Source organism: Homo sapiens, chromosome 17 (assembly GCF_000001405.40).
Source record: "Homo sapiens chromosome 17, GRCh38.p14 Primary Assembly".
Classification (NCBI taxonomy): Eukaryota; Metazoa; Chordata; class Mammalia; order Primates; family Hominidae; genus Homo; species Homo sapiens.
In genome coordinates this window covers 7,997,075-8,020,767 of record NC_000017.11, presented here as the reverse complement: position 1 = coordinate 8,020,767, position 23,693 = coordinate 7,997,075, and the positions used below count along the sequence as shown (strand labels likewise).

At 52.3% G+C, this 23,693-nt stretch overlaps 1 protein-coding gene across 2 annotated transcripts, besides 1 other annotated feature; it reads right to left on the bottom strand.

The window, feature by feature from the left end:
* On the bottom strand, positions 426-18,153 carry GUCY2D (guanylate cyclase 2D, retinal). 2 transcript variants are annotated; one of them, NM_000180.4, is made up of 20 exons: positions 18,034-18,153; positions 17,000-17,729; positions 16,612-16,916; positions 14,054-14,405; positions 13,624-13,708; positions 13,240-13,342; positions 12,736-12,837; positions 11,182-11,262; positions 8,418-8,624; positions 8,162-8,318; positions 7,516-7,665; positions 6,740-6,888; positions 6,004-6,167; positions 5,717-5,909; positions 5,266-5,440; positions 4,927-5,025; positions 4,747-4,841; positions 4,478-4,563; positions 4,214-4,325; positions 426-640 (listed from the first exon to the last, which is right to left on the bottom strand). In NM_000180.4, the coding sequence occupies exons 2-19, from the start codon at positions 17,718-17,720 to the stop codon at positions 4,238-4,240; spliced, it is 3,312 nt and encodes a 1,103-aa protein (NP_000171.1). In that variant the 5' UTR covers positions 17,721-17,729; positions 18,034-18,153; the 3' UTR covers positions 426-640; positions 4,214-4,237. The 2 variants fall into 2 exon arrangements, with proteins under 2 accessions (NP_000171.1, XP_011522118.1); XM_011523816.2 differs by lacking the exon at positions 18,034-18,153 and having other exon boundaries at positions 426-3,740.
* Positions 3,853-4,033: a silencer, noted in NCBI's record as "fragment chr17:7920053-7920233 (GRCh37/hg19 assembly coordinates)". NCBI's record gives its function as "represses an EF-1alpha promoter that drives an FKBP-Casp9 reporter gene in an ReSE screen in K562 erythroleukemia cells {active_cell/tissue: K562}" and the evidence as "EXISTENCE:reporter gene assay evidence [ECO:0000049][PMID:32094911]".

The following is a 23,693-nucleotide window of genomic DNA, read 5'->3' as shown; positions in this document are numbered from 1 at the left end:
CCTGCCCAGAGACCAGTGGACCTCACCTTTCCCATCTGGGGGCCCTGTTCCTTCAGTCTTGGACTCTGGCTCCCATGTTTGTAGGTTATGGTCCATGGGTCATGGAGTCATGGCATAGACAAGCTCTGTCCTTCTCTTCCTTCTTCCCTCCTGCATACAATCAAGGGATGAAGCCACATCACCCACCTTAAAAGCGTCAGAGACCCTGGTCTTTTCCAGCAGCCTGAGAGGCCCGAGACTTCCCCAACTGGTTCTCTGAGCAGAGGAGTTCCTGGGAGCTGTTGGCCCCGGCCACTTCCCCTCTTCAGGCCATCTCTAAGGTTCAACCCTATCTGAAACCCTCCCTGGAAATGGCAGGGCTGAGCGTTCCAGAGATGGGGGTGTCGAGACTACTCTCCTGGCTAAAAGCAGCACACACCACAACATGGAAGACAGCATGCCTTTATTTCACCCACCCTCCCAGGACCCAAATACCATGGCACATGGCCTGGTATCCACGGTGCAAGGTCCAGAAGAGCCCGAGGAACACAGCCCAGCAATGCAGTGTCACAAATCCCTGCCAAGGAGCAGTTCACCCCACCTCCTCAAAGGGGGGTGCCTGGGGTCCACTGCAGATGGGACAGGGAGCAGGGCCCAGACCCTAAGGAGAAGCACAAAAAAAAAAAAAAAAAAAAAAAAGGCGCCAGGTGAGCCCCGGGACACGCTGTAGAGTCTCTGCCGTGGGATTGAAGCAGCAGCTATGAGAGGTCCCTGCTTTGGCCATCACTGCTCTGCCAGCTACAGAGCCATCTCCAAGGCAAGGACAACCGCAAGTGTGGGCTCCTGGCGCAGGCCAGCTGGCAGAGGTAGTGTAAACACATCTGAAGGTGGGGGATGCCCAGTGACCAAGCCAGGCCCCGGTGCTCTCATGCGCTGGGAGTTGCCCAGGCCACAGGAACAGGGTGGGGAGGACTTGAGTCAGCAGAGCCCTGAGACTGGATAACCGACTGGGTCCAGGAAATAAGATTTCCAGAGAAATGGTGGAAACTGCAGAGAAAGGCAGACAGAGACTGCCAGGCAGAAAGGGGACTGTGGGGACACAAAGACAGGAGAATAGAGCAGAAAGGGAGGCAGGAACAGAGAAAGGAGAGGCTGAGGCACAGAGAGGAGGCTGAGGCTTCATCTTTTGCCTTCTCTTCTCCCACTAGATCTGTGAACTCTGGGGTGGGGGTTCCCCAAGTTCTTCTAGCTGGGGAGGGGTCAGGGCTCTTCTATCACATCTGGTCACTTGAGCTTGAGGCCAGCCTGGGAAGGAGGCTGAGTGAAGGTGGGAAGGAACTGGCTCAGCCCTGCCCACTCCACTTCTACCTTAAACTGGGTCTGCCCTCTGGCTCATCCGCCTCTGCTTCCGGGAGGAGCCCTGCCTAAGCCTGTCCCAGCTAATCCCTCTGCACCTAATCCTGGACTCTTCCTTGAGGCAGCCGAAATCACACACCATTAACTACTCCAGGCCCTTGCAGGCAGGGAGAGAGGGAAGGAAGGGGAAGGGCTGCAGGGTCGGGTACGGGAGGGAAGAGACAGGAGGCTGAGAGCTCTATCCACACAGTCAGGTCCAAGGCCAGAGATGTGAATCTGCGCTTCAATCCCTGGGACCTAAGTACAGAGAAAATCTTAAGGAAAATCTTCAAGAATGTAAATAACTTTTAAAAATGTGTGTGTGTGCATGCCCGGGTTTTGTTTTGTTTTTAATCTTTAATTCATCGTATTTAAATTCAATTTAAAATGTTTTTAAAATTGCACTAAATTGCTCTCTGTAGCAACATCACCTTCGGTAACCAGAACTTACAAGTGCTGGATTCTCGATGTTTGATACATTCTTCCTTCACCTTTAGGAAGGAGGGGAATACCACTAAGCTTGTGGAAGTCATGAATCAGTTTAAAAAAAAAAAAAAGAAGGCAAAGTCCCGTCCAGGAGCCCCTGTAATCCTAATACCTGCTAAGGAGTCCTAAGCTCAATGTCTACAGGCACCAGGCAGGAATATAAAGGAATGTTCAAAAAATCTTGGTGTCTCGGAGTCTGTGGGGAGTGGCGACATCTGGATAAAGGGGACTGTTGCTGTTTAGCTGCAGCAGAATGTGGTTAAGTGGTGACACAAGCACCATGTGGGGCTTCTGATTTCAAGAGAAGGGGGAAATCTGCTATACATTTTTAAAATGTGGAAGCTGTTGATTTTTAAATGTTAGCTCAAAACAAAACACTCTATAGGCCAAACAAAAGAAATTTGGTGGCTAGTTTGTAGCCTGGCTTTATGAGATCTTAGAGATTCTAAGATTTAAAGATCTTAGGGTGATTTAGTTCTATGATTCAGAAACTTTAATGAGCGTGTCAATATTTTGTAGGAACTTGTTAAAATGCAGATCCAGACTCAGCAGGTCTGGGGTGGGGCCCTGAGATCCTTCATTTCTAATGAGCTCACAGGCAGTGCCGACCCTGGCCCACCAACCACACTTGGTGTAGTGAAGGTTCAGTTCCGGAATTCCCTCTCACTGTCGTATCCCTGGTCAATGATGTCTCCAGTTCTGCCTTCACACCTCCAGGGACTGGACACTCACTACCTCTGGTGGCAGCCTAGGTGGTTTCCTAGCCTGCTGCAAACTTCTTCCAGGGTCTGTAGCAATGGTGACAGACACCAAGAGTCAAATGTGCCAAGGCCCAGGCTCTGGAAGGTCAGAGTTTCACAAAGGCAACTTCAACTGGGGACTTGCCAGGACAGGGCATTGATAATTGCTGCAAAGGTCAGGCGCGGTGTCTCACACCTGTAATCCCAGCACTTTGGGAGGCCAAGGTGGGCAGATCACTTGATGTCAGTTCAAGACCACCCTGGGCAACATGCTGAAACCCCATCTCTACTAAAATCACACAAAAAAATTACCCGGGCGTGGTGGCGGGTGCCTGTAATCCCAGCTACTCGGCAGGCTGAGGTAGGAGAATCACTTGAACCTGAGAGGAGGAGGTTGCAATGAGTCGAGATTGTGTCACTGCACTGCACTCCAGCCTGGGTGACAAAGTGAGACTCAAAAAAAAAGAAAAAATTCTAAGCAGAGAGGATTTTCTGTCCAACTGCTTGCTCAGCAGCTCCTAGTTAAACAGAGAATGCCGCTCTTTGGATGTTCTGGTCAGTCAAGGTGTGGCACAATTTCCTTTCCTCAAAGCATTGAAGCAAGCTTTTCTCTGCACTTGGGCAAGTTCCCTGATTATACCCACAGGAGAAGCAGCCAGTTTCTGACTGGTGGGAGATGGAGATAGGAATGAAGCTTGAGGCTAAACAGGAGCCCTTGCCCCCTCAGGCCATGTGACAAACCCTGCTCTGGTGGAACAGAACTCCACTTCCTCTGGGGTCGGGCATCAATCCCAGATCCTCCTTCCTGGGTCCCTGAGAGACACTGGGAAGCGGAGAATCCCTGACCCTCACATCCCCTGCTGGACTCAGGGCTCCTGGGGGTGAGGGCCACAAGCCACCCAGCTGTCAGGTGCACAGGGGCCTTGGGAACCACTTAGGCCACCCCCCATTTTGCCACTGAAGGGATCACAGCAGAGCATGCGTGACACTTTCCCAAGGTCACATGGCTGGTTTTGCAACCAGCTCTTGTAAAAGGCCCAAAATCCTTTGAGGCAGAGCTGGGCAGAGTCCACCAGCATTAGACAGACTTCCAGTCACCTATAGCAGCAACTTTCAGGAAAAGGACCTTCCAGAACAATCCTGAAGAAAAGAGGGGTATCTCAGAGGGGAGTCGAGGAAAGGGGTCATGGGGGTTCACCTAGGAAGGAGCGGGTCACGGGTCAGTTTCTTGCAGGAGGGGAGTGGGCACGGCTTCTGCTTTCACATTGTTCTCTGGTGACTGCTGCCCCCTAGAGTTGTCTCTTGTGCAGTGCACAGCCTGTGAGGCTTCTGCGGAAGCCAGGTTTATGCACTGGGGATGAGATAGGGCCAGGGGAGGGGCCACAGAAGGCCCCGATTACGGAGTTTCCTAAGCCTGGATTTCCAAACCACTCCAGATCTACTGAACCAAAATTCCTGCAATGGCTGCTTCCCTCCCAGGGGAAGCCCCGGGGTTTAGGAACCAGCCTGGGCTCTCTAAGTCAGAAAGGGATCGGGACACCTGGCTTGGGTGGGACGTTCTGCAGGCAGCAGAGGGGACGCGGCAGCTGGGGTTGGGGCTGAGGGGGCAGTACCTGTCCGGGGCCGGGCCTCACTTCTCAAGAGAACTGGCCCGGCCGCGCCTTCTCCAGCTTCCGTCGCCGCTCGGGTGGGATCTCCTGCAGGCTGATGCCGTGGTTGCTGGACCTGCAAGGAGGGGGCGGTGGCCTCAGGGAAGGGGAATGGGGCGTGGGAGGGCAGGGCCCACGTCATCGCTGCCTCGCGCGCGGGGGGTCAGACACAGAGCAGGAGGCAGGGGTCCCTCGTCCCTCGCCCTGCCGCGGAGGCCGGCCCCTCACCCCGGTTGCAGGTCAGGCGGTTTGGGGATGGGCTTGTTGAAGCCGCGTCTGCCCACTAGCCAGAAAGTGTCCTCGGCGCCCTTGCCCTGGGGAGACATGGGAGAGGGAAGGACTTAGGCGGACTGGGGTGAGGGGTGGGGGATCTCGAGTCTGCGTGGAACTGGGAGACCAGGTCAGAAGGGTGAGCTGAGGTTTGCAGCCGCGGCCCGGGATGGGCGGTGCCTCAGGACAGGGCGGGGCCTCCGGGAGGGGTTGGGGCCCTGCCTCACCTTCAGCTCCGTGCGGCCTCGCAGCTCCACCTGGTAGCCCGAGTCCAGAGCACGGAGAATCCCCACAGTGCTCAAGTTCACGTGGATGCGGTAAGCTGTGGCGGTGGGGGACGCCGTGAGCTCGGGACTCACCTCCCGTGTCCCCCTCCCACCTCCCCGTCTTGTCCCCGTCACACTCACGCAGCCCGGTGGACTCCATGCGCGAGGCGGTGTTGACCGTGTCCCCAAACAGGCAGTACCGCGGCATGGTGAGGCCCACCACGCCTGCCACGCATGGACCTGTGGAGATGCTGGGGGTCGGCGGGGCTAGCAGGGCCGGCCCTGGGCTGCACCTAGGTAGGGCCTCGGGGGATCTTCGCACCCATTATCTCCACCAGCCCCCCAAATAAGCCTTGTTAAGTGCATCCTCTTCAAGGTAAGCCCCACTCCCCGCTCCATGAGTTGCCTCCTCTACAGGAAATCTGGGGCCAGGCCCTAAAGAGGGAGATGGGCTGGAGCCTGGGAAGACCCGGGAGTTACCCGAGTGCAGGCCTATGCGGATGCGCACGGGAACCTCAGGCATATGGCGCATGCGGAAAGTGCCCACGGCACTGAGGATGTCCAGTGACATGTTGGCGATCTCTGCCGCGTGTCGCTGCCCATTCCGCTGGGGCAGCCCCGAGGCCACCATATAGGCGTCCCCTATTGTCTCCACCTGGGGGAAGAAGGAGTTGTGTGAATTTTCTTTTGAGCATTCCCCCCGAGTACACGAAGCGATTGCCTCTTGTCACCGGGCCCACCTGGGGTTAGTGCAGAACCAGGTTGCTAGTGGAAGGACTGAGCTGGGGACTGGAGGAATAAATAAGGGACAGGAGGTCTGGGAAAGAAGATTGATTGGGCAGGTAGGCTAGGGGCTGCGCAGGAAGGGCTGGGCTGGAGGCTGGTGAAGCTGAATTGAAGGTCAGGAGGGCTTGTCCCCTACACACTGCACCTTGTAGACATCGTGGGAACCAATGATGGCATCAAAGAGTGTGTAGAGATCGTTGAGCAGGTCCACAACCTCAATGGGCTCACTCATGGCAGAGATGGTGGTGAAGCCCACAATGTCACTAAAGTACAGTGTCACTTGCTCAAAGTACTCGGGCTCCACTGGTGTCCCCGTCTTCAAGGCCTCAGCCACAGACCTAGGGATGGCAGGCAGTGAGGTCACCTGGGGGCCACTCTACCTGGCTGGGCTCCAGCTGCCCTCCCAGCCCACCCCTTCCCACTGGCACCCACGGAGGCAGCATCTGTGTAAGCAGCCGGTCTGTCTTCTGCTTTTCCAGCTCCAGCTCCTCCGTGCGCTCCCGGATCAGATCCTCCAGGTTACTAGAGTACTGCTCCAGCATCCGAAGCATCGAGTCAATGATGTTCGTCTTCCGGCCCTTGTTGATGTTCTTGAACTAGCAGTAGAAGGAAGCTGGTAAAGCTGCTGAAGACCTGGGTTGCCATGCCCTCTTTATGCCCCCCTCATGGGCCCTCTCATGGGGCTGTTCACTCTGAACCCCAACCCCGCTGCCACCATTCATCTACTATTCATCAAGCACCCCGGGGTGCTGGGCACTGTGTTTTCAGACACGATTAGGAGGCACGTGGGAAATGAGGGTTCCCAGAGGTCAGTTGATCTCAGCTAGTAATTGACAGGGCACTGGAGCCAGCCCAATCGTTGGGCTCCCAGGCCAAGGGTCTTTCTGTCACAGCAGGCCAAGCACATACTTGGTTCTCAATCAGTGTTATTTGAATTGAATTGAATATTCCTCCCACCCAGACAGAACTCTATCTCCCACTCCAAAAGCCTCCACAGCCCCCATTCCAATTCTGCCCCCAAACTCCGAGTCTTCAGGCTACTCCTTAGGAGGTAGCCTGGAAGGCCAGAGGTCCTGCCAGCCTGCCTGTCTGCAGCTGTCTCAGGTTGCTGACAAGCATCTGGGATCCCAGAGGCCAGCCCAGTCCTTGCCCACTCCCAGCCCCTGACCAGGTCGAAGGTGTGGTCCATGGAGGGCCGAAGTTCCGGCTGCTCTGCCCAGCACTGCTTCATCAGGAGGATACACTCGACAGGTGCCTGGTCCATGGACACCAAGGGCCGACACAGTGGAGGGGGGCTCCGCACCCTCTGCACCACTTCTGGAGGCATGAGGGGACAGTGAGGGGGAGTGCCCCCAGAACACAAAGGCTGCCTCTGACCCTGGCCTGACTGTTGAAGACCAAGATGTGGGAGGGGGTGCCTGGCAGGGGTTTCTTTACATCAGAGGTTCAGTGTGTGTGTGTGGAGGGAGAGTATAGTGTGGAAGGGGGTTGCTAGGAGGAACAAGAGGACCTCGAACTCTGGGGGTCAGTAAGAGGTGACATAGGCAAAGAAACTAACATATTGTATGTAAGACAAGTGAGGGATAGGTGATCAAGTAGTTTGCTCAGAGTCCTGTGCAGAAGGGATGCACCCACTCCCCCTCCCCTGCTCCTCCCAGGGACCCCTGAGAACAGAGAGGAGTCTGTTCTGTCAGTTGTGGAAACAGTTTGGTTCCAGCATCAAGAAAGAGGAAGCTGTTGTGGTCTGGGACCTAATGAACCACGCTCCCCACCCTGGCCATGCACGGCTTTCTGCACCCAGACCTGCAGATGCCAGCTTTAAGGGGGCCTCCGTATAATTGAGTTTCATCACTGGGCTTTGCTTTAGAGGAAAGAGTGAGGCTGGCTCTTTTCTAACTGCAGGGTGCCCCTGTGGGCCGAACTCCACGCACAGGGCAGCCTTACCCTCGGGAGTGAGCTCCAGCATGGCATAAGGGGCACTGCGGCACACTACTTCTTGCATGATGATGGCCAAGCTAAAGACGTCGCCGGCCAGCGTTCCCCGGCGCTCCAGGGCTGGGTCCCTAAGCAGCTCCGGGGCTGTCCACAGCTGGTCTGGGGATGGGGAAGGGGCTGAGGCGCCGCTGGGGAAAGACTCCCACCCTCACCAGAAAGCCCAGGTTGGCACCCAGACACCACCAACCCTGCAGCCTGAGACCGGTCTGAGACCCTGCAACCTGAGACCAGCCCTGCAACTATCTCTAGGAGCCATCTCAGAGAAAGCCTGGCAAATAGGCCTTGCCCTTCAGAAAAGGTGGTGCCCAGGGAAGGCTCCGTCTCTTGGGCACAAGCCCCACCCTCAGGCAAACTTGTAATCAGAGCAAACCCTGCTGCAGGCAGCTCAGGTACAAGTCCCGCCCCCAGCAGCCCCGTCTCCGAAGTCACAGAGCCCACCCTCTCAGAGGCCACAAGATCTTTTCTGTAGCAGGAATTGTGTCTGGTGGATGTGGGATGAAGAGAGTGCGAGGGCAGAGGTAGGGAGGAAGCGGGGGAGAAGCCCTTGAAATAATGGGGATCCCGGTGGATCCTCGTCTGCACAGGGGACTCTTACCCTCCGCTCTGGGAGGCTCCGGTAGCACCTTCTGTGCTTCCAGCAGTCTCCCGTGGCCGTGGTCAGTGATCTTGAGTACGAATCTGCCATCCACTATGCAGTTCCGTGACTTCAGCCGCCCATGAGCCACGCCTCGATGGTGCAGATACCTTATTCCCTTGGAATGGGTAGGGTAAGAGGCAGCCTCAGCCTGCTTGGTTCCCTTGCTCCCCATCCCTGCCCCCAGGACGTCACCCCACCACCCCCAGACACACACCTTGATAAGGTCCAGCAGGAGGGAGGACTTGAACATCCAGTCCAGCTTTATTTCTCTCTGAGCGAGGAGGTCCTGAAGAGAGCCCCGCGTGCAGTGCTCTGAGACCACAGCCAGGTTGCCCTCCCAGAGGGCCGCAGGGCCTTCTGCTCCCCGAGCCAGGAAAAGCCCCAGGTAGAGGGCCACGTTCTCATGCCGGAGCTCCTGGAGCTGAGAGGGGGAGAGTTGACTTGCATTTTCTGCCCAGGGCAATGTGGGGAAGGGGCTGTTAATCAAGATCTGTTTTTGAGTATCCAGACCCAGAAGATGAGATTTTTACAAATGGTGGATGAAATGGTTGATAAGGTATGTACGGGGGCTCTCTTCTACACATAGTCCTATTTTTGGAAAAAACAATATAGTCAAAGGCCACTGTTTGGATACTGAGTATGGTTTAGCCTAATGCTGTGAATGAAAAGACAACTTTGCATTGGTGATCAGGACCCAGGCAGGTTCGGATTTATTGATCATAAGCCTTTTTTTTTAGACACGAGGTCTCACTCTGTTGCCCAGACTGGAGTGCAGCGGCATGATCATAAATCACTGCTACCTTTCATTCCTTGGTTCAAGTGATCCTCCTACCTCAGCCTCCTGAATAGCTGGGACTACAGGCTTGTGCCACCATGCCTAGATAACATTTAAAATTTTTTTTCTGTAGAGATGGGAGCCTTGCTATGTTGCCCAGGCTGGTCTTGAACTCCTGGCTTCAAATGATCCTCCCACCTCAGCCTCCCAAAGTGCTGGGATTATAGGCCTGAGCCACCACACCTGGCCCCAGCCATAAAACTCTGAACTGCCTGGGTCTTAAGGGAAGCAGCTCATGAAGGAGAAGCTCCTGGAACCACCATCCTCTCCTGATTTAACAGCCTTTGCTGGGAGAGCCAGGGAGGAGCGGTGCCACTTTCTTTCTTTTCTTTTGTTTATGTATTTTTTTTTTAGACAGATTCTTACTCTGTCACCCAGGCTGGATTGCAGTCGTGCAATCTCGGGTCACTGCAACCTCCGCATCCTGAGCTCAAGCGATTCTCCCGTCTCAGCCTCCCGAATAGCTGGGATTACAGGTGTGTGCCATCATGCCTGGCTAATTTTTGTATTTTTAGTAGAGATGGGGTTTTGCTATGTTGGCCAGTCTGGTCTCGAACTCCTGACCTCAGGTGGTCCATCCACCTCAGCCTCCCAAAGTGCTGGGATTACAGGCGTGAGCCACGGTGCCCGGCCTGAAGCTGTGCCACTTTCAAAGGACACCAGAAATGGCGTGTGCCTGCAACCTGGCCGGGGGCTGCTCTGCTTGGCGTTACGTCATTGTGTCAGTCGGGTCTGAGACTCCCACCCTCCCTCAGTTAGGGAAGACAGGACTGACTGCTCTGCAGGACAGTGCCCTCACAATCGGGGCATGCTAGAAAAAAAGGTGGCTTAGCTGGCTGACTGGTGCCCTTTCTAGCTTTTCCCTCCACATGCCCAATAAGGGGATACTTTTCTTTCCTTTCCTTTTTTTTTTTTTTTTTTGAGACGGAATCTTGCTCTGTCGCCCAGGCTGAAGTGCAGTGCCGCGATCTCGGCTTACTGCAAGCTCCGCCTCCCGGGTTCACGCCATTCTTCTGCCTCAGCCTCCCACAGTAGCTGGGACTACAGGCGCCCGCCACCACACCCGGCTAATTTTTTTTGTATTTTTAGTAGAGACGGGGTTTCACCGTGTTAGCCAGGATGGTCTCGATCTCCTGACCTCGTGATCCGCCCGCCTCGGCCTCCCAAAGTGCTGGGATCACAGGTGTGAGCCACCGCGCCCAGATACTTTTCATTTTAAACACCTGGTATTAAATGGTGATCGAGTTCATTAATCCCCATACACATAGTCCACTTAAGTCACTGCATCTGTGACCAAGAGCTCCTGTAGAGGAATCAGGGAAGAAGGCCAGGCCCAGGCTGCATGGCATGGAGATAAAGGGAGACATTAAGGTTGTAAGGACCAGAATAAGCCATTTACAGCCTCCTTGCCAACTTTGCACTTCATTCAGAATGTCCAGGGCTATTCTGCACAAGTGGCCTGACAGAACCGGAAACTCATTTTTTATTTTCTATCATTAGATCAACAAACATTCACTGGGTCTCTCTAATGTTCCAGACACTGTGTTGGGTGCTTGATTACAATGGAGGGGAGTGAGGAGGCCCTCACTCAGCTTACAGTCCAGCGAGAGAGGCAGAAACAAGCAGGCAGACAGATGAACATACAATTGCACATTGCAACAAGATCAAAGGAAAGAACTAGTGGTGTGGCAGAGAATAATGAAAGCCTACTCCAGGGTGGAGGAAACATGTTTTTTTTTTTCTTTCTTAATTTTGACAGGGTCTTGCTCTGTCACCCAGGCTGGAGTGCAGTAGTATGATCACAGCCCACGGTAACCTCCAACTCCCAGGCTCAAATAATCCTCCCTCCTCACCCTCTGAAGAGTAGCTGGGACTACAGGCATGTAACGCCACACCCAGCTAATTTTAAAATTTTTGGAGAGATAGGGTTTCTTTATGTTGCCCAGGCTGGTCTTGAACTCCTGGCCTCAGGTGATCCTCCCTCACATCTGCCTCTCAAAGTGCCAGGATTACACGTATGAGCCACCACACTCAGCCAGAGGGGACACTTAACTGAGACCTACCTCTGTACCCAGCTGCAAAGAGAAGGCAAGGAGGGAGAAACCGATGGCCACCTAGGCCCCATCACAGGCCCAAGTCTCACCTTGGAGAAGGCCGTCTTGGTTGCTGGGCGGATAGCTATGTGCTGATCCCCTGGGAATTTCTTCAGCCAAACCCTGTCTCCCTGCAGCAAAGAGGATGGGGGTAGGGAACTCAGTCTCTTAAAATCCCACGATGGGGAGCCCTAGAACCCCTCCCCCTCATTTCCATTGGCTCACTGTCCCAGAATGCATCTTCCATGTGACAAAATGCATTGAACCAAGGGGTTTGATGTATGCCCATCCACTTCACAGCCATCTGGGAGAGGGCCCACCCCTGGATGACAGAGATTCTGAAGCCATGGATGGCTGTCCTCACCAACCCAGCTGTGCCCACCAATAGTCCTATTAAGTGCATTAATACAACCACAAGTGTCATCGACATCACAACCCTCATTACCATCCACTGCCATGAGAGAACATGTTCTGGGAGTAAAAAATCTGGGTAGATCAGGCTTTATTGAAAACTAACTGAACTATAGACAGCTCCCCTCCTGATGCTGGACCTCATCCTCAACTGTTGGCAGGGCCGGTTCACAGGCATGGGACCTGTGCAGTCACACAGGGCCTCGTGCTCCGAAGGGCCCAAGCTTGGTTCAATGACCTCCTGCCATCATCATGAATGAACGAGGAGCCCCTCATTTCTATCTTGCCCTGGATCTCGCTAATTATGCAGGTGGCCCTGTCTTGTTTATAAGGGATTTGGACTAGAAGGGAATTTAGAAGGGAATTGGGGTTTAGTACTGACCCCTAAGGAGCATTTGGAAATAAATGTGGGGAAAGTTTTAACTGTCACAAAAACTAGGAGCTGCATTAGTGGACAGGGCCAGAGACAAGAAACACTAAATATTCTTCAAGGCACAGAGTAGTCCCATACAATTTAGGACAATCTGCCCCAAATGACAATAGTGCCTCCTCTGAGAATTGGCCATGATGATCTCTAGGTGACATGATAGGAGCCTCTGCATTCCTTCCCATGACCTGAAGCCCAGGAGCTCTAAATTTCTACTCTCTTGATTTGCTCAGCACTCTCAGCTCTCTCTCAATCTGTTCTCATCATCTCCCCTCCACTTGACCGCATTCAGATTTACCAGCCCCAAAGTTAATGTCCTAATACTTTTTTGTGACTTTCTTTTCCCCCTCTAGGGGTTGCTATTCCTGAGTCTGGTCTGAATTGGGTGGAAATGCTGAGGGGCAGGGCCAGAGGCTCTGACCAGGCCGGAGATGGTCTCAGTGGCCACACCATGTTACCTGCTGGTCCCAGCATGCTCCCTGGCAGCTCCAGCCTCCAGTCTCTGGGTCACTGTGGTTAGCTTTTGAGGAGCCCTTACCCAGATAGTGGCTAGAGAAAAATCCTTGGGGAGGGAAGATTCCTAGGTGCTTCCCTTTGAGGGATCCATGACCTTTCCCTAGATCCTGTCTGGGCTCCCATCCCCCATCTCCTGGAGCCTGCAGGATTTGACATGACTACATGTCCTCCTGAGAGTGCGCCTCCCCTCTGCCCAGGGCCTGAGCATTCTTCCCCCACTGTCTCTCTGTCTGGCTGGGGTCAGGCTCACCTCATAGACACCAATGTTGGGGCTGTCCAAGTGTTGGCTGGGGCCGCTGCGAATGTCTGACATGCTGCGGGCACCCAGACTTGATCGACTCCCCTGGGCCACCTAGCAGGTAGAGGTCAATGCAAGAGGTCAAAATATATTCTGGTGTCAGAGTCCTGGGTTGAGGTCAGGCTGAGTTTTGGGGATTTAAAGATGGGAGGCGAAGGAATCTCAATGAGGGAAGGTGATAATGACATTACTCCCCAAGTGCACGCTTTACAGTTTACAAAGCAAACATTCATTTTCTTGTTGGAGCTTCACCTCCCCGCCAGGAAAGTAGTCAGGACAGGTACTGTTACCCTCATTGCACAGATGAGGGTGCTGATCCCTAGACTTCAGACGTGGGACAGAACTGGGGTAGAAATCAGGCTTCCCAAGTAGGGAGCTGGGGTCGGGACTGGCCCAGGGAAGGAACCAAATTTACGGAAAGAAGACAACTGGCTCCTGCCTCTCTGCCTCCCCCACCTTTCGAGAGGTGCCCCCATGTGGGTGGAGAAAGGTGATGTCGTCCACGGTCAGGATGATCTTGTTGGGGCCGGAGACCATTTGCATGTGAAGTAGCCGGTGCCTGGTGGAGAAAGAGGTCACCTCCACCAAGGGCACCAAGTTCCGTCAGAAGAGACCAGCAGGGGATGCGGGGGAGGGATAACGTTGGCTCAGGGGAGGGGTCCTGGAGGGCAGCCATCCCCAAAGCACACATCCCCTGGGACTCTACCAGCCCACCAGAACACCCTCACCCCAAGAAAAATCTCCTCCTCTACTCCTGAGTGAACCCAGCCTGCTGTTTTTGCTGCAGACTTCCATTTCTGGCACAAGCTCACTTCCTACTTACCTCATTCCACTACTCACCTCACATAATGGGCCAGGAAGGCCCCAGCCAGCCCCATCCCAACCACCAGGAGGAAGCCAAGAAAGACGAGGCCCGGCTCCAGTCCTGAAGGGACAGTGACAGGAGGTATACTGAGGAGCGATGCCAGGGGAGGCCTCTTCTCTAGGGAGGCATGCCACATGCTGGCCCCTCCAGGAAAGGGGGATGGGGGCCCAGAGAGGCTCTAGGGGTAGGTCATAGTTCCTCAAAGGGGAGAGGCTGGGAATGATAGAAAATTTCCAAGAGGGCTTTGGAGCTCAGCAAGAGAGGGGTCCTGTGCAAGCCAGAGGCTGGGAGAGGGCCTAGAAGGGCATCGAAGACGGATTACAGGATAGGAGTCCACTCTCTTTCATCACTTTGTGGATGGTCCATGGCGATTGTCTCAGTGGGGACTGGGGTGCTCGCCCTCACCTCCACCGCAGATGTTGTTTGGATCGAACCAGCACGAGGGGTCAGGTCCGGGTGCTGATCCCCCACGCGGGAAGTGCATCCGGGTACCGGCGGAGAGGAAGGAGCCCCGGGCAGGATCCAGCATGTATGTGGCAAAAAGCCGGTCTCCCGCCGCGTCCGTGTCTAGCAGCACGAATGGGGGCTCCTCGTCTCCTCCTAGGTCCCCGCAGAAGCCAGGGACCTGCGCATCCCGGATGTGGCGGGCCACAGCTGCTCCGGACACCCATCTGCCACCTGCGGCAGCCCGCGCTTCTGCCACGCCCCTTGCCAGCAAGAAGACCGCGTCATAGATGGTGCCAAAGAGTGGGGAGACCTGGAGAAGGAGAGTAGGGGCTCAGAGGTCGGGGTCACAGCCCACAGACAGACCAGATTCTTTCACTGCCTGTCAAGCCCAGGGTATCCACTGTTGCCACCTTCCAGTTAGTTGTTCCCAGGATCCCTCCCCATTGGCTATCTCTTCCTCCCTCCCCATTGGCTCTCTTCCTCCCTCCCCATTGGCTCTCTCTTCCTCCCTCCCCACTGGCTCTCTCTTCCTCCCTCTCCTATTGGCTGTCACACCTGCTCTCCCCACTAACTGGTTCCTCTTTTCAGGACTCAGCCTCCTCTCTGACCATTGGTTGATTCTAATTCTCCATCACCTGTAGGTCCTCTCTTCTTCCTGTTGGTTGCCCAGCATATAGTTTTAACCTCATCACCTACCATTCACCTAAAAGCCTTCTCACCTATCTTTTGGTTGGCTTCTATTTTCTGTTGTTCCTTAAAAAAACAAACAAACAAACAAAAAAACTAAACAAAAAACAAACAAAAAACCTTCTCTATTGTTACCACCCGATCTTATCAGGCTTCTCTATTATTCCCAGTTGCCATCTCTCAGAGAGCCAGGCACTGTGCAGAGCACTAAAGATGTATCAGTGTACAAGACAGACCCCGTCTCAAGGAACCTTTCTTCTTGCCAAAGAGACAGGGGTGTTCAGGCAGTGCAATGAGTAAAAGTAGGGGAAACTGAGGGAGCTGCAGAGACAGGAATGGGTGTCCCCACCCTAGGCTGTGGACAGAGAAGGAGCTGTTAGAAGTGACCATCCTTCAGGGGATGAGTCAGAATTATCCAGGGGAGGCAGGGACAAGAGAGAGGAAACAGCACACTCAGAAGCTCAGAGGCAAAAGAGAAGGACACATTCCAAGAACCCAGAGTAGCTTGGTCTGGCTGAAGTTCATGGGAGGTGGAAGAGAGAGAAAGACAGGTGACCTGGTAAGCCATGTGGAGAGGCCTGCATCTATCCAGGGCAACAGAAGCCACTGTGAGGCTTTGAACAGGGGCATGACAGGGTGAGATCTGTCAGATTTCTGAAGCTTGATCTGGAGAAAGGTGTTGGGCAGGTGAGTGTTGAAGCAGAGACCATCTGAGAGATTATGTTTTGGGATTTGGGCTGGGGGTGCTGTGGCCTGAATCAGGGCAGTGACAGTAAAGATGGAGAAAGCGGATGAATTCGAATGATCTTTAGGAAGTAACAGTAACAGGGCTTGATGCCTGGAAGTGGGGGCGAAGAATTCAAGGAATCAAGGGTGACTCACACGCTCAGAGGCTTGCGCAGTTTGGGCAGTGGAGAGGACTGCTGTGGTACTTACTGAGAGCTGAAGGGCTTTTCTCTCTCTACTTTCTCAACCTCCCTCTCTCCACTGACCGACCCTCCCTCCATCCCATCTCATTATGATTCCTATCTTGTATTCTCTTCTGACTATTCCCATCACTGCACCCCTCCCCCCTCCATTGGACACCTCCAATCCTCTTGGAAGAATCTAGGGGCATCGATGGGAAATTGCAACCCCTACGACCCTTCTCTCATGCAGCCGCCTGTGAGTTGGACCTTTGTGGTGGTTAATTCACTGCCCGTTGACATCTAAATTCCCTTCTCATAGTGGTTTCTAGTCCCCCTTTGTGGCGGGAGTAAAGTTAGATGATCTGAACTGGGATTCTGGGGACTTGGGGATCCCTAGGTATTAGCTGGATGTTGGAAATACACTATGGATCTGGTTAGGATTGCCCCTGAATCCACCCAGGGAACTTTCTGCTTCTTGCAAGGTGTCTAGGCCCTTGAAAAGCTAAGACCACCAGATGAGGCCCCAGAGGAAATACCTCTGAACTAGGGATGAAGGTTGGATTGGCATCCTCCCTCCTTCCTGCTTTCAAGAACACCAAGTATTTATTTTAGACAGCTGGGAGTATGTGGTGGTGGAAACGGGTTTACTTTGAAGCCAATTGCAAAAGGTTTTGCAGTTTACAGTTCATTAGAGTTTACTGCTTGATGTTGGACTTGAGAGGTCGAATTGCCTACTCTCTAGAGGCAATCCTCGTACACTAAGAGACCCCAAGTGGGGCCAGAGCCTCTACATTACCCAGGAAACTCCAAACAGCTAGAGCTGCCAGTGGTTCTTTCTCCATTGGCTGCATCCTCCTCTCCCTGCTTTGGCTGTCCTCTCCCCTCTCCCTTGCCTTCTTCCCTCCTCCCGGGACCGTCTACCTGCTGCAGATTGAGGTCAGAGGGCAGCTCGCGGCGCTCTTGAGCCCTGCGCAGGCTGTCCAGCACGCTGCCTTCAGAGGGACAGTGGCGCGTGAGGGTGAGCACGGCATCGTGGGCCCTGCGAAGCTGGGAGCTGTTGGCGAGTGCGGCCAAGGCCTCCGGGCCTGGGGACAAGGCGTAGTGGATCGTGTCGAAGGGCAGGAAGACCAGGGAGCCATCGGTCAGGCCCAGCTCCTCTGCGGCCTCCAGGAGGTAGCGCTGCTCCTCGCCACCCAGCAGCACCGAGTGCATCACCATGATCACTGCTGCGGACAGAGGCTTGGCTCGCGGCGCCGTCCGGCTGCCGGCAGGACCAGCCGACCTCCTCGCACCCTGCAAGGGAGCCTACCTGTGACCCTGGGCCCGTCCCGAACCTTCCTCAGGGCCTCCCGGGCTCCAGACAGGTCCAAGGGCTCCATGGAAGTCACGGAGGCGACAGGCAGGCCCCGGGCCCTGAGTGCCGTGGACAGTGAGCGTCCCGCCTCCACCCACAGGTCCTGGGGGGCGGTGACCAGGGCCACGCGCGCCCAGCCGAATGCGCGAAGCAGGGCGTAGAGGGCATCCGCGGCGGGGGTCACGGCAGGGGCCGTGGTGCCCTCCGCCTGCGTCCAGGGGCAGCCCCAGGGCACCAGCGCGATCCCGGCTTCTTCGGCGAGCAGCTCGGCTGGCCGGCAGGCCGCAGGGTTCACCGGACCCACGAGGCCCGACACGCGGGCCAGCGCGGAGGACACGGCCCCCAGCGAGCCCGGCGTCCGGCAAGGCTCGGGCAGCAGCGCTACCTCGAAGCGGGGACCGCCTGCCAGGCCGGGGTCGCGGTTCAGGCGGGCGGCGGCCAGGCGGGCGGCCAGGTCCGGGCGAGCCCGAGAGAAGATGGGGTCGCAAGCCCAGGGGCCCAGGACCCCCACCGTGAACACGGCGGAGAGGGCGGGGGGCTGCAGCAGAAGCAGGAGCAGCAGGAGCGGGAGCCGGGGCAGGGCCCGGGGGAGGCGGGGCAGGGACGGAGCCCACCACGCGGGACCGCAGAGCCCGGGGTCCGGAAGCCCACCCGCTCGGCGGGCGCAGGCGGTCATTGCCGGCTTCTGCGAACACAGACGGAGCAGGCTGAGCGACTGAGACCCCGGCCTCCCCTAGGGTTCTCCCCGTAACCCCGAGTTTCTCCAAGCCCGAGTAACCCATGGGATGATTCTGCTGCTACCGCCCCCTCCGGAGGCTGGGAAGACTAACTGGGGCCAAGGACACCGCCCCGAAGCCCCCTTCTGCCGCCCCGGCTTCCCGCTCCCACCCGGCCTGCCCCTCCCCCCGTCGGAGGCGTCAGGGGTCAGCAGGGACTCGCCTGCGCCCTCAGACCGACCCTATCCCAGCGGAGGGGCCTCTGACATTTACAGGGAAGTCCGGGGGCTCGGGCCCACGGCCCCCGGTGAGGGGTCACAGGGCCGGTCCCCCTTTTGACGCCCGCCCACAGGTCTTCCTTGCCAGCCCAGGCCAGGGCGGGGGCGTGGGTACAGCCGGCCAGAGCCCTTAATCTCCCCAAGCTGATTAGGGTCCTTAATTAGGTAGGGAGGGGCGGGCTAGTGGAGGATGAGAGCCCCTACTGCGCCTTTCTGGGGTGGGATCTGTCCTGGCTTCCAGGTAGTCAGCCAGATCCTTTCCCCTCCATGCCTTCCAGCCCCCCACATCACCCTCATCACCACCACCCCTGCACAAAAGCAGCCGCAGCTTCCCCTTTCAGCCGTCGGCCACACTGCCCTGCTCAGCCAGAAAGTAACAAGTGCCTGCCCGTGGACAGCTGTGGGTAATCCGTCCTGGAGAAGAAACACTGATCCCAGTCCCTTTCCTTACAATCTTCTGTTTCCAGTTCTGCCAGCTAAGTTCAAGCTCCATCCTTTGGCTGGCAAAGTCTATATCCCAGAGACCAAACCCACACCAAGCTGACACCTGCCTTTCTTCTTTCACTTCTCTTCTCTCTCTCGCCACACTTGATTCCCTGACCTCTGCTTCTCCATGCCTAGAAAACCACCCTCAGGAAGTAATGAAAAGAGCTTTGGCCTCCGACAGACCTGGGTTCCAAGTCCCTCTTGCTGATTTTTGGACCTTGGGCAATTGCTTAATCTGAGGGTTGTTGTGAAAATGAATATAATTGCCCGGATGGCAAGAATAGCTAACAATTTTAGAGAAGAGTATAATGGAAGATGCCCTATAAGATATACAAATTTATTATAAAGCAATAGCAATTATGTATTTATGTAAATATATAATATATAAAACATAGCAATTATATATCTACATAAATATATAATATATAAAACATAGCAATTATATATTTATATAATTATATGATATATAAAACAGCAATTATATAAATATATACTATAAAGCTATAGCAATTATATATTATATATTTATATAAATCCACATTATGTAGTGACAGCAATTATATATTTATATAAATATATATTATAAAGCTATGGCAATAAAGACTTCATAGTTTTGGCACAAGGATAAACAAATGGACCAATGAAATAGAATATACAGTACTGAAACAAACACAGCAAATGTGTGAAGACGTGGACATTTCTTACCAACTGGGAAAGAATAAACTTCAACAAATGGAGCTGATTAGCCATCTGGGGGGAAAATAGAATTCAATCCCTATCTCACACCATACACAAAATCTATTCCAGGTCAAAGACCTATATGTGAAAAATAAAACTTAAAAACTTTTAAATGAATCATTTTCAGACTTGGTGGCAAAGATTGGATCAGGTAAGAATCATCAGTGGATTCTAAAGCTGGGGGAAATGTTGGATGAGGAGCAGAACTTTTGCAGGGTCTGAAAGTATCTCCCTCCAGATTGCCATGAGTTGGAAGGGAGTGGGGAATAAAATAAAAAGCAGTCATTGTACAGTGGAGAAATGGGGCAATACTTTAAGCAAGTGATCAAAATTAACCATGAGGGGCAGAGAGACATTCTTTGCCTCCAGATGTGATACCCTGAGAAGGACATAATACTACACCTATGCAGTGCTGCACAATACGTCTCGGCAATGTTCCAGCATTATTTCAAATCTAATCACAAGGAAACATAAGATAAACACTAAATGAGAAACGTTCTATTTAAAAAGGTGGGGAGGACTGCATTCTTCAAAAATGTCAATGTCATAGAAGGCAAATAGAGGTTGAGGAACTGTTTCAGATTAAAGAAACCTAAAAAGACATGACAATTATATGCAACACCTGCCCTTAGTTTGGATTCTGTATCATTGGATTTTTTTAAAGTGCTATAAGGTTATAGGGCTTGAGGCCGGGCACCGTGGCTCACGCCTATAATCCCAGCACTTTGGGAGGCCGAGGCAGGCGGATCACTTGAGGTCAGGAGTTTGAGACCAGCCTGGCCAACATGGTGAAGTCCCGTCTCTACTAAAAATACAAAAATTAGCCGCGGGTGGTGGAGTGCACCTGTAATCCCAGCTGCTCAGGAGGCTGAGGCAAGAGAATCACCTGAACCTGGGAAGCAGAGTTTGCAGTGAGCCAATATCGCGCCACTGCACTCCAGCCTAAGCAACAAAGTGAGACTCCATCTCAAAAAACAAAAAAAGAAAAGAAAAATGGTTATAGGGCGGCATGGGGTTATAAAAATGCTATAAAGAACATCAACATTAACAAAAAAATTGGCAATTGACAAAATTGGAATATCACAGGAGATTCAAAAGAGTATAAAGTTATAAAGTTAATAATGGTAGTGTAGTTATGTTAGACTATCCCTGTTCATAGGAAATACACACTGAAGTATTTAATGGTAAAGCATCATGTATATAACTGACCCTCAAGCAGTCCAGAAAAAATATATATTAGATATGATATATGGTATGTTTTATATATTATCTATTTCAAATGATAAACAAATAGGGTAAAATGCTAACAATAGGTGAATCTGGGTAAACAGCCTGTGAGTGTTCTTTGCATATTTTTTATTTTTGCAACATTTTTTAAGTTTGAAATTATTTCCAAATAAAGTTAATTAAAAATTTTAGATTATAGAATTCAAAGAAAGTAGATCTGCTCTGAAGAACAAAGAAAAAAAATAAGAAAATAGAAAAATTTAAAAAGAGCAGAAATTTTTAAGAGAAAAAAAGACATAGATTGAAAAGACATCTTTATCAATTCAGGGTAGGAATGGATTTATTAAGCAAGACACATAGGCTGGGCATGGTGGCTCATGCCTGTAATCCCAGCACTTTGGGAGGCAGAGGCTGGCGGATCATATATATATATGGCAAAATATTAACATCTGTTAGTTTTTGGTGGTAAACAATCGCTATATGTAGGGATTTTCTGTATGCTTGAAATGTTTTCTAATTTAAATTAAAAAAAATTTGTCAACAAAAATTTAGATGTCTGACCTGTAGCAGACTTCCAAAATCCAGTAGACATCAATATTCGTTTCTACAGTGCTGTGCTTCTTACCTTCCATAAGAGTTACCTCCCCACATCTCCTGTCTTCTGACTCAACATCTCTACATGAAATTGTGGAAACTCCAGCCAACTCTTTCATTTCACACATGATGAGAATGAGGTCCAGAGACCAATTTGGTTAAATTGACAATCTCCCAATTTTCCTCTAGGGTCCATGGACAGATGGGTAATATAGATGAAGATGAAGGGGGGATTTTTAAAATCTTTTTGTCATAAAATATACCTAACATAAAATTTACCATTTTAACTTTTTTTTTTTTTTTTTTTTTGAGACAGAGTCTCACTCAGCTGCCCAGGATGGAGTGCAGTGGTGTGATCTTGGCTCACTGCAACCTCCGCCCCCCGGGTTCAAGCGATTCTCCTGCCTCAGCCTCCCGAGTAGCTGGGATTACAGGCACCCGCCACCACGCCCAGCTAATTTTTGTATTTTTAGTGGAGACGGGGTTTCACCTTGTTGGCCAGAATGGTCTCGATCTCTTGACCTCGTGATCCGCCTGCCTCAGCCTCCCAAAGTGCTGGGATTACAGGGGTGAGCCACCGCGCCCAGTCTCCCCACTTTAACATTTTTAAAGTGTACAATTCAGTGGTGTTAAGTAAATTCATATTGTTGTGCAACCATCACCACTGTCCATCTCCAGAACTTTTCCATCTTACCCAATTGAAACTCTGTGCCCATTAAATACTAGCTCCCCATTTCCCCTCCCTCCAGCCCCCAGAAACCACTGTTCTTATTTTTTTTTCCTTTTTATTTTTTAGAGACCGGGTCTTGCACTGTTGCCCAGGCTGGAGTACAATGGCACGATCTCAGCTCACTATAGCCTCAACCTCCTGGGCTCACACAATCCTCCCACCTCAGCCTCCCAAGCAGCTGGGATCACAGGCATGTGCCACTATGCCTGGCTAATTTTTTGAAATTTGGCAGAGATGAGGGTCTCACTATGTTGCCTAGGCTGGTCTCCAACTCCTGGGCTCAAGTAATCCTCCCACCTCAGCCTCCCAATGTGCTGGGATTACAGGTGTGAGCCATTGCCCCCGGCCCATCATTCTTTCTGTCTCTATGAATTTGACTACTTTAGCTACCTCACATAAGTAGAATCATAGAGTATTTGTCCTTTTGTGTCTGTTTATTTCACTTAGCATGATGTTTTCAAGGTTTATCCTATGCTGTAACGTATCAGAGGTTCATTCCTTTTTTTTTTTTTTTTTTTTTTTTTTGAGACAGAGTTTCACTCTGTCACCCCAGGCTGGAGTGCAGTGGGGCAATCTCGGTTCACTGCAACCTCAGCCTCCTGGGTTCAAAGCAATTTGCGTGCCGCAGCCTCCCGAGTAGCTGGGACTACAGACGTGCATCACCATGCCTGGCTAATTTTTGTATTTTTAGTAGAAACGGGGTTTCACCATGTTGGCCAGGCCGGTCTCAAACCCCTGACCTCAGGTGATCCTCTTGCCTTGGCCTCCGAAAGTGCTGGGATTACAGGTGTGAGCCACCAAGCCCCACCTCACTCCTTTTTAAGGTTAAATAATATTCCATTGTATGTACAGTATATACCACATTTTATTTACCCATTCATTCTTCTGTGGACACTTGGCTTGCTTCCACCTCTTGGTCTCTGAGTCCCTTCCTTCAGTTGTTTTGGGTATACACCTAGAAGTGGGATTGCTGGATCATATAATTCTTTTTTCAAATAAATATTTAATTTTATTTAATTTTATTTTTTGTGGCAGGGTTTCACTCTGTCACCCAGGCTGGAAGGCAGTGGCTTGACCTCTGCTCACTGCAGCCTCCGTCTTCCAGGTCCAAGTGATTCTCCTGCCTCAGCCTCCCGAGTAGCTGGGACTACAGGCAGGCGCCACCACACCAGGCTAATTTTTGTATTTTTGGTAGAGACGGGGTTTCACCATGTTGGCCAGGCTGGTCTCGAACTCCTGACCTCAAGCAATCCACCCACCTTGGCCTCCCAAAGTGCTGAGATTACAGGTGTGAGCCACCGTGCCTGGCCTGGATCATATAATTCTATGCTTGATTGTTTCAGGAACTGACACACTGTTTTCTGCAGAGCCTGTACCATTTTATACTCAAGGAGTGGACTATTTTAAATCCATTCTAGTCCTCACGCCAAGGTTGCACAGCCAGCCTCCTGCCACCACACTGCTTCTCACTTCCAGTGGCCCACACCAGAGCTTGTTTGTTGCTTACTGCTAAATTTCGATTCCATCTGAAAGGTACTGAAACAAAACATGCCCTCTTACATAAAGGGCGGCGCCAAATCTTAAAGTAGCAGCTGGCTGGAGTTACCAGAGGACAGAATTATATTTAAATCCAACTCCTGTACTATAAATAGCCTCAGCTGCAGGTGGCGCTCCCTCTCTGGAAGGTCTTGGTTTTGCTCTGTCTAGAGGCAAAGGGTATAAAGCTCTTTCTTCTGAGATTTTTAGTCCCTTCCCTGCCCCCCATAAAGTCACGAAATTTGGAGGAGTTGACAGAAGGAATTAGAAGTTTCTGTTTGTGGAATCACTGCAGCAGTAGATAAGGAAAAACTATTCCTTGAAGCAAAACAACTTTTGAAACC

What these genes read in the sequence shown, in the direction of transcription:
- GUCY2D (NM_000180.4), bottom strand. Translation starts at nt 17,720, where the DNA reads ATGACCGCCTGCGCCCGCCGAGCGGGTGGGCTTCCGGACCCCGGGCTC. An exon ending in ATGGGGGCACCTCTCGAAAG is followed by an intron (nt 12,838 to 13,239) that starts GTGGGGGAGGCA and finishes TCTACCTGCTAG; the next exon opens with GTGGCCCAGGGGAGTCGATC. An exon ending in CTTACACAGATGCTGCCTCC is followed by an intron (nt 5,910 to 6,003) that starts GTGGGTGCCAGT and finishes TGCCATCCCTAG; the next exon opens with GTCTGTGGCTGAGGCCTTGA.